A 10308-nucleotide genomic window follows, 5' to 3' on the forward strand; every position below is an offset into this window, starting at 1 on the left:
GATTCCAGATCAATAGACCTGTCAGGACGCAGTGGCAGTCTGACCTTAGGCACAGGTGGTGAAGATGAAGAAAAGTAGAAAGAGGGGACAAATATTAAGAAGGTTCTAGAAATAGACTTGGTATTGATCAGCCCTGGGTGCTAAGGGAAAAGGTTGGGTCCAAATCCAGGCACAGGCTTTGGGCTTTGGCAGTCTTGTGTCTGCCAGGTCCGTTCATGAAGACGAAGAGGCAGAAGGCTGCAGAGGGAGGTGGGCGGGAAAGGCATGAGCGCAGTGTGGTTGGGCTAAGGTGGGAATCTGGACATGTCCAGTAGGCAGCTGTGTGCACAAGCCTGGAGCTGAGGAGGGAGTGATGAATTGTCATAATAAATTGCACTTAGAGGGTGCTTATTAGATCCAGAGTATTCCAAGCACCTTCCTGCAAACCATTATTATCCTCTTTATAGAGATTTTAAAAAATGAGGCACAGAGAGGTTGGGAGCCCAAGCTCTTAACCACTGTGCTCTGCTCCTCTCCTAGAGGAAAACATGAGAAGGGCTGAGAATGGCCAGTTCCACAGTCAGGAGGCCATGGGTGCGCTGAGCTAGAGCAGGTTTGTTGGGGGTGTGGAGGGCAGGTACCAACTTCAATGGATATGGGAAACAGCAGGTAAGAGAAACACCACAGCTGTGGAACAGAGGCAGGAGGAGAGGAGGGTGACAGCTGGAGAAAGATGCTGAGTGGAATTTTCTCAGCATTGGAGGACTTGAGTGGCTTTAAATGCACTGGAAAGGAACACACACAAAGAGACCTGGAGGTATAGGATAGAGAAAGGATAGTTGATAGCGTCAGTCCCCAAGGAGGGAGGAAGGGCTGGAATCTTACAAAGTGGAGGAATTACCCCCACTGAGGAAGAGAAGAGGGAGAAAGGAAGGGAGGCAGAAGAGAGGAAGGGATATGGGGGAGGGGGAGAGGGAGGGGCCAAAGCAGGACCCAGACAACTCAGTTTGTTAACCTCTGGCAGGGAATTTCTGTCTGACAAAATCTTCTAATCACTCAGCAAAAAAAAGGAGCAACCGTCCCTGAGATGAGGGGAGCATCATGAAGCTGTGGCAGGTGCAGGAAAGAAGCCGGGTTTCAGTGGTAGCTGTGGTGACAGGGACAGTGTGCTGGCCTGAGACCCACTTCTTTCCCTGGGAAACAACTTGAGGCTCACAGGTCTGGGGTTGTGATCAAAGCTTGCTGTGGAGATGCCTGCTGAGCTGGACACAAAAAGTTAAGTTTTCCTCTAGCTCAGAGCTACTAATTAGATCATCTAATAAAATAACACTAAATTATAATTTGGCATTAAATAAGGCACTCTATGGACCTCCATCTGCCTGCCTCTGTGTTGCTCTCTCAGGGAAGAGAAGCTGGGACAGGGAGAGGACAGGATGAGAACTCCCCAACCTGCCTCCTGCTGCGGAGCAGCCACCTGGGGTCAGCAGCCACCTCTGAGCAAGGCAACAGCGACTTGCGGGACTACACGGCCCTGCCTGGCACTGGAGCACGCGGAGAAATAGCCACAGCGCTAATTACCAGGCAGAGCATTGATATCCCATAATTAAATTAATTCAATATGGTCCATAAAATAAAACTAGCATGGCCACTCACCAAGCTCCCCACACAAGGTCGTGATCATCTCATTTCAGGAGTATTTATTCACTCCAGAGCCCCAGCACTTTCCAGGCAACAGGGACTGTTTGTTCCTATAATTTAGTTCTTTTTTTCTTCCTGTGAAAATAAATTACCTAAACAAATTGAAAAGAATAAACAGCTTGAATTGCAAATTATAAAGTTGCCTAGTCCAGCAGTACAGGAGGTCATTATTCACAATATGTCATTTTAAGATAAGTTAATAAGGAAATATAGAAGAGAATCAATTTTTGGTCATCATTAGCGTATACAGTGCAAAAAGCTACAGGGTATTCAATTAATTCTAGACCATAATTATGAAGCAGGAGATTTGCGTATAAATCAACTTTTTATATTTTGTTGTCTTCAGTGTACTAGGAAATCCCATTTCTAACCAGAGTTCAGACAGAGGATGAATGGCTGCTTGACCACAGGCTCAGCGGCTCCAAGAACTTCTGTGGGCACTTCAGCCCTGGAGGTATTTCATAAACTTCTCACATCCAGAAAACCATAATTACCGTCCTTGCAATCATCTCCCATTTTTTTTCCAGCTGCCATCTGTCAAGAAGTGCTGGCCACCTACACCTCATAGAACTTATTCAGTCACTAATTAATCCCAGAGGACAGCACAAGCTATGTGGAAATGCATTATTTTAAAAAGATGGAAGGGAACTAGCTGCTATAAGATACTACATGATGAAGGCAACCCCCGCATTGCTGTGGAAAAACAAAAATGATGGAGGGAATGATTTGCAAAATGCAAACTCAGTCCTTAACATCAAATGCTGGAGATGGCAGTTGTACAGCCCAGTGTTTTTAAATCACGCTTCGGGGACTGCTGGGCTCTGGGGGCATTCCCCAAGGTTTCTTGGTGTGTTTTTCCACAAAGAGTTTGCTTTTAGATCCTTTTAGAAAATCTATATTTTCTGTTTGTCAACTCAGTTTCTTCCTCGTCCACCCCCAAATCATATGGTCCTCTTCTCTCTGAGTGCATTGCTGGATAGGACTTCGCTACTTGATCATGCTTTCTTATTTGCCTTTAAATACACATCTCCCAGGTCTTAAAAACGGGAGAATGTCCCCGAGTCCCATCTTCCCCTTCCTCTGAGGACGGGACTGCAGTTGTGGTGCTACTGTCCTCCAGGGTGGGTCACCTCCTGTCCTCTCTGCTGGCCTGGCAGCTTTTCCCCTCTGCTCCTTCCCTACCTGCCTCCCTTGCCTACAAAGCAGACGTGTCACCAGTCAGGACCTTCTAAGCAGATCCCTACCGACAATGAGGCAGAGAACCCATTAGGCCTGGGGCCGTGGGACTCATCTGTGCCACTACTCTGAGAACGGGCAACTCAGAAGAAGGCCAAGCCACCACATATGAAGACCACCCAGTCCTGGACATCCTCTGAGCCCCCGGACCTGGCCATGCCTAAGCTGTCTTGCCCTAGACTTCCAGTTTTAGGAACCAATATGTTCCTTTTTGTTTTTAAGCTAATTTGAGTAAACCCACTCAAATTGCAAATTTAAAACTTTAAATTTGATTTTAATTTGAGTAGATTTAAATTTTAACTTGAGTAAACCCACTGTCAATTGCAAATTTAAAAGTCCTGCCTGGACAGGACTTGGCCTGGCCCTTTGCTGCCTTTCTCTGTGTTTCTGACCTAGCACCGCCCTCTCCCTGCCCACATAGCAGCTGGAGCCTGGTAGAAGTTGCACCTTTATGATAGCCCTGGATCCTCTCCTGGGTGGGGTCTTCTGCATCCTACACCCGGCAGGGTAAGAGTGACTTCTGGTCCCAGCTACTTGGGAGGCTGAGGCAGGAGAAATGCATGAACCCGGGAGGCGGAGCTTGCAGTGAGCCGAGATGGCGCCACTGCACTCCAGCCTGGGTGACAGAGCGAGACTCCATCTCAAAACGGGCAGATCACGAGGTCAGGAGATGGAGACCATCCTGGCTAACACAGTGAAACCCCATCTCTACTAAAAATACAAAAAAATTAGCCGGGCTTCGTCACGGGCGCCTGTGGTCCCAGCTACTTGGGAGGCTGAGGCAGGAGAATGGCGTGAACCCGGGAGGCGGAGCTTGCAGTGAGCTGAGATTGGGCCACTGCACTCCAGCCTGGGCGACAGAGCGAGACTCCATCTCAAAAAATAAATAAATACAAATAAAAATTAATTAATTAATTAAAACAAAAAAACAGTGACTTCTGGGAGAGCAGAAACTGCCTACAGCCTCAGCAGCACCCCACCCCACCCTATGCTCCCCACTACAGCCCAAAGAGGGGTGTTCTGTGGCTCCCTAGGGTCCAGGAAACACAGTTCTCCCATTTATTCTTCCAACAGATATTGTTGAATGCGCTGGTCACGTGGACTCCCCCAGAAGGGAAGCAGACATGACCATGGCTCTATAGTCTCCCCTCTGTCTGATTCCTCTTCCTCCCACCCCAAGCACAACTTCACTTTCACATGTGCACACGCAGAGACATGCACCCAAAGAGCGTGTGTACATACACATATATGCATGCACAGACAAATACACACAACACACATGCACACAGATGTCACACATGTGCACATCATTCACATAAACACAAGTGAACACATATGCTGATGCACCCACACTCATGTACATGTATGTACACACAGAAACCCGGATGCATGTGCACACTGGCACACAGACAGAGGCAGCCACACTGAGCAGCTCCATGTCGGCACACACCTCCATTCTTCGCCACCTTCTCTCTTCCTCCTTCCCCTTTCCCTGGCTACTGCTAAAATCTTTGTGACTCAAGCTCAGCCACCTCTTTTGGGAAGCCTCGCTCTGTACGCGGAGGCCCCGCTGAGGCTCTCACTGGCCCTACACTCCGCACCCCATGCTGTAGCCTGTGGAGGCCCCGTCTGCCCCGGGAAGCTGTGGGCACTTGGTTCCCAGCACAGTCTGCTGCCCAGAAGAAACTGGTGAACCTCTTCAAGTGACCAAGTCCTTGAATTTCTGGAGGTGACCCACTAGGCTCCTAGATTACTTGTTGTGGATAATAAACTTAAAGAACTTGTTTCCCAGACTGGAAGAAGAGAGGACAGCCTCAGGAAAGCTCTGCGGGAGCCCATTCCCAGGCAAGCCCCAGTGAGTTATCAAGCATCTGGGAGCACAGTCACAGCCCTGAGGTCAATGCCATCCACTCACCAGGGGACATCCACCAAGCCCTCCAGGGCAAGCGCCTTGGCCAGCTCTCAGAGGGGGCAGGGGAGTCAAGACCACCTCCCTCAGGGCGGCTGGAGAAGGCAGTCCTGCCGTCCACTGCCTTCTGCTCTTCAGGTTCTGGGACAGAGCCTGGAGCGCCAGGCTAGAGGCGGCTTGGAGACAGCAACCCTGAATCACAAAGCGTCGGCTCCCCAGAGCCCCTCAGGTGAGGCCTGCAGCACCCTCACGTACAGATGGACTCGGCCCAGATTCCAGGGTGTCGGCAGCAGCGGGAGAGCCTGGGTGAGTCACCTGGAGTGTGAGGGACCCTGTGGGGGGGTCACCCTGTGTGGAAGTCATCATGTGTGGGAGAGTCATCTGGTGTGAGAGTTGCCCAGTGTGAGGGAATCATCCCCGTGTGGGTGTCACTGTGTGTGGGAGTTACCATGGTGTGTGAATCACCTTGATGCAACTCACCTGGTATGTGAGTTCTTTAGTGTGAGTACCCCCATGTGAGCCATCCTTGGTCCAAAGACAGACAGGTCCTCTCCCCATGAAGACCCTTAGGCTGCTTCTCCTGGACAACACAAACAGACTCCCACTACCACACTTCCTGCTCAGACCCAACTCTTTGGGTTTCTGTGCTCAGAGAGTTTCCCACCTCACTACCTACCCTCTTGTGAGCCTTTCCTTGGAGACCCAGGATAGGGCATGGACCCTGTCTCTCATCTTTGACTCCCAGGGCCTAAAACGAGGAGTAACCTGACACAGGCTTCAACAAATCTATCATTAGTTCATCAGTTCACTCAGCCCTTGGTTCATTTGTTCAGTGGTCATGTGGAGACTGCATGTGGTGTGTGTCTAGATTCCCGAGAGCCCTGTTAGGTGGGACACCAGACTTAAAGCACAGGGCTCTGTGCCCTGCTCCTGCAGGGGTCCCCATGCCAGGCAGCCACGCAGACTGTTTATGCATGAGTCCCGTCAGCCTGCTCTGCCCCAGAGACTCATGCCCTGCATCAAAGCTGTCTTTCTCCCCCCACACCACACCACCCTCCACCACAGAATCAGGAATAACCAAAATACATGATTCCAGGGAGAAAGGGAGACGCAAGACCCCATAGGATGGTCCGCTGGAATCCCACTGGGTGGCCTTCCTAGAACCCCCCACCCGGGAGGGGCATGTTCCTGAGTTAGGTGCTAATTCACTCCGGCCAGGGCTTCCCAGGGGGGCTTCTAGGCCTTCCACTTTCCTCCTTGGCTGCATCTGAAGAGGGCATTTTTCAGGCTGAGCATCTCATCCTGCCCCCTTCTGCCCACTGAACGTTGGGGTCCAGTGATCATTTTGGCCCAGACTTTTGGTGTCTTTGGCAGCACATCTCTCTCAGAAACCTAAAAATCTAGAAAGCTTCTTACCTATTTAATACTAAGCAGCTCCATGCACCATTGTCATACTAGAGTCCTTGATAAAGGTCTCCCCTCTCTCTGTCCCTCCCTCTTTCTTCCTCTCTTTCTCTCTCTCTCCACCCCCACCCCTTAATTTCATCTACCCACACCCCTCCATCTTTTCTCCAAGGCCCATTTTGAAAATGGTTTATTGGTCATCATCTTAATCCACTCAGAAATGTTAAGCAATGAGTGTGATGAACAAGCTCTTGTCTTGGTACTGGCTGCAAGTCTGGGTTTTAACTGTCCTTTCTTGCTCAAGCATTTCTCAATATTAATTTTTACTGTTTGGAATTGGAAAGCAGTTGCCTCATTCAGAGGTACAAGTCCCCAGATTTCTGAACTTTCTGTTCTCTTTTATTTTCAGCCAACTGCAGCTAACACATACTGCTGCAGCTCTGTTTCGTGAGCTCTTCTCTTTAAACTGGAGTTCACTGGGGAATTATCTATATTTCAAACTATCACAGTTGGTGCCGTTACCAGATATTTCACATGATATGAACCACTACCCTTCCAGTCTCTGATATAGACTTTGTTATGCTCTCCTGTGCTGGTGAAGACTCGGAGAAGAGTAAGTTCAGTGAGTGGGGAGAATAAAATATGCCAAAATAATTTTGAGATGCCTATGAGATGTACACTATAAGTCTGGAATTTGGGGAAGAGATTAATGATGAAGATATCAGCACAGGTGCCATTGCACTTTTGCTTGTTTGTATACTGAGAAGAATGAATAAATAAAATACCAGATGAGTTTATCCTCAATGATTTTTAAAATTTAGGATCTCTTAAACGAGGCATTTTTTCAAACTAAACACAACACTGGAGACTTTGTTTCTCTTATGCAATCCCTACCCCATTTCTCACCCTAACTCTTCAACCAAAGAATCATTGCCTTCGAGAGCACTGTTACTAGGAGAAACGGTGCGGCATCTCTGGGGTATGCTGGAGAAGATAAAAGCTTGTGAATCTCCAGTCGCCCAAGATGATCTACATCCATTTCAGGTCGAACAATCTCTGACTGTATAACTATAAATTAAATGCACCATGCCTCTTTTATTACAGACATTCTGAAATATTAAAGAAGGTTAATAATTAAAGGTAATCTTGAACCAGTTCAAAGCTCCAGCACTACTGATTTGAGCCACTTGACTATTTCAAGATTTCCCTGTCATGCACAAATTTCCCTGTCAGTTCTACCATCATCCCTAAAATAACATTAAGAGCTGCATCACTTTAATGCATCTTTAGAGACATTTCCGGAAACCTGCAGTGATTTTGTTCAACTGTCTGCACTCTTCTAGGTTCAGGTAAACAATCACTTTGAAATGTTTGGGTCCTTTCTTTAAATAGATATGGGTAAGTATGTCATCCATACACACCAGCAACCTGGCAACATGGCATTTAAATATTTCACTGTCTGAGTAAATACATTTGATGCCTGGGTTCCAACTTGGATTAAGTATTTATTGTGCATCTTTTCCCAAGGCTCATTTTAAATCCAGGCATTTATCAACCTGCTCAAAAAAAAATGGCATCACATCTCTAGGACCTTCTAGAGCTCAGTTCTAGGCCCGGGTTGACCCAGGGTAACCTAAAAGTATCATAAAATTCAAAAGAAAACTGAGACTGTATATTGACTACCTGTATGACAAATAGAGAGCTACTTAACAGGAGACTAAAGACCAGAAGGAACACTAGGTCCAATTGTTTAAAACAAATTCCAAACTAAAAATGCAGACCATGGCTAAAGGAGCGCTGTTTTGGAAAACCACAAAAATATTATGGGAAAACATACATTCATCTTGACAGGCGCCTGTTGCAAAATCATAGGTCCTGGAAAAACACTCTCTGGGTATATGATCTGGATGGAAGCTATGAGTTTTCACTGTCCTTTCTTGCTCAAGTCCAGTGAGAAACTGAATTAGTTGGTCCCTGGGCAAATAGTATTGGTATGTAGGCAGAGCCACAAGGCTCAGAGGATGCCCAGAGGAGAAATATGCTCTTCGCATAAGTAACAGGTGGAGTTGAAGTGTGTTTTTGCCCTTTGTTTAGTTTGAAGTTTTTGGAGATTCTTCCATTCCTTCACTTCCTTGATTCCCTTTTCATACTGGCTGACGTGCAGCTAAGGTCTTCCTGCTGCCTTTTCCACCTGTCTTTCTCCATTGCCTTCCTCGTTGCTTTTTCCACAACCGGTCCCCAGCATGTCTCTCCTCCTTCTCCCTGGGCCATCGTATTCCCGCCCACAACTTCACTACCACATCACTCAGTGGTTTGACCTTTCCAAGGTCATTTGAAAGCTGGGAGTTTTCTATTCAGAAATAAATTCACATGCTCACACATACTTACAAAGTTTTGCATTCAGTTCAGGGGAGGCACTGGCTCCAGCTTGAGAATCCCTCACCCACCTGCATATCAGTGACTCCCAGCTCCCCACCCTCCACAGGACTCCCCCCCAGGACCCCCAAACAGACTGCAGGCCTCTATAAGGACGGTGAGGGCCATTGCTCTCCACGGAATCCCCGGCACCTACATTGTAAGAACTCAACGCACATTCGCTAAATGATGAAAGAAGAACTTTAAAATGTAAAAATGCATAAAATATACTTTAAATACAGAGGAAAGTTTGCAAAAAACACCATATAAGGTATGACCTTAACGATGAAAGAATGTACTTGGAAAAAAATTGGAAGCAAACACATCAAAATTTACAAGTAGGATATTTTCAGAGGGTAAAATTAAAGGTGATTTTTATTTTATTCTTCAAACTTTATTTTGTAATTTTAAGAAAAAGCAGAGGCAGGAGTATAGTTTAGTGAGCTTTTGTCCTGTGAGCTATTGTGAAGCATGAAAGTGCAAATCCCGGGTCTCCCCATTGTCCTCTGCATCCCCCTTCCCCTCTTTCTTATAGAACAAGTCCTAATACTCTAAGCTCTGCTCTCTCCCCTTGAGGGTTATGAAAGGCTTTTAAATTTAAGGGTCCCAAACTGAAGCGTCCAGGCACTCCAAAGTTACCTGCCTTCTTTGGGAAACCCAGGCCCATTAAAGCAGGTGATCAAGCTGAGGTGGGGGCAGAGAGGTGGGAGGGATGGAAGCAGACAATTGATAGTGCAGGATAGCTTTCGCCCAGGAGTTTGGGGGTTTCCACAAGAGGCAGACCCATACTCCTTTTGGCTGTGGTCTCCCCAGAGAGCCAGGACCCTGAGAAATGCAGCCCTGAGGCAGCAGGGGACTGAGACCCAGGAGCCCCGCACTGGGGCGCCTCCAAGCCCTGCATGCTGCACCCGAAGCACAGTGTGAACTGTGGAGCCTGCTGAGAGAGCTTTCTGGCCCTGGCCCTGGCTCTGGCTCTGGCCCCAGCAACTCTGGGATGTTCATAGGCGCTCCCAGACAGGAGCAGGGAGCTCCAATGATAACTGAGGAGACACAGCTCAAACAGCCTGACTTAGTTCAATTTAGAGAAATGAAATAAAACAAAACGATGGTTTCTGTGCCCGAGGGCTTACAGCGAATTCCTACCCACCACCTGTGTGGGACTATTTGGCACATTTGGCTAGTAGTGGTCGTTTCCTGCCTCTGAAGGAATCAGCCTTTGGATTCTTAGTGCAAAATACCTAAGGCTGAAAGGCACCTTGGAAAGAAGCTGATCCTGTGATCTGCAAGCCGTGCTCTACAGAGCTGCTTCAAGTCCGCTCAGAAGCGAAAAGAGGCAGAAGGCAGGGCTCCCCTCCACACACCTGGCTCCCCTCAACCCAGCCAGAGCAATTCTGCTTTTGCGTTTCATTTAATACAGTTCCCTATAAGTCCACTGACTACAAGACTGTGGGGTTGTAAACTGTAGGGAAAACACTGGCCTCATGGAGGCCCAGGAGGGAAAGTTAGTCCTTGCCCTGGGGAAATACTGCAGGGCCTGGACTAGAAGCCAGAACTCTTGACCCACAATCCGGGGCTCGTTTCACCTTTGCCGTTTTCTCCCATAAGGATGGGATAGAAGGTATAAGGAGTGTGTCTTTGTGCAATGGGGATCAGCTCGGCTATTTCTG

The 10308-nt window shown here is 47.8% G+C and overlaps 1 annotated feature.

Moving 5' to 3' along the window:
• Positions 4601-5800: an enhancer, noted in NCBI's record as "CDK7 strongly-dependent group 2 enhancer chr2:127555119-127556318 (GRCh37/hg19 assembly coordinates)". NCBI's record gives its function as "activates an origin of replication core promoter dependent on BRD2, BRD4, P300/CBP, MED14 and CDK7 cofactors, with strong dependence on CDK7, by STARR-seq in HCT116 cells {active_cell/tissue: HCT116}" and the evidence as "EXISTENCE:reporter gene assay evidence [ECO:0000049][PMID:35650434]".

The sequence above is a fragment of the Homo sapiens genome, chromosome 2, assembly GCF_000001405.40.
Source record: "Homo sapiens chromosome 2, GRCh38.p14 Primary Assembly".
NCBI lineage: Eukaryota > Metazoa > Chordata > Mammalia > Primates > Hominidae > Homo > Homo sapiens.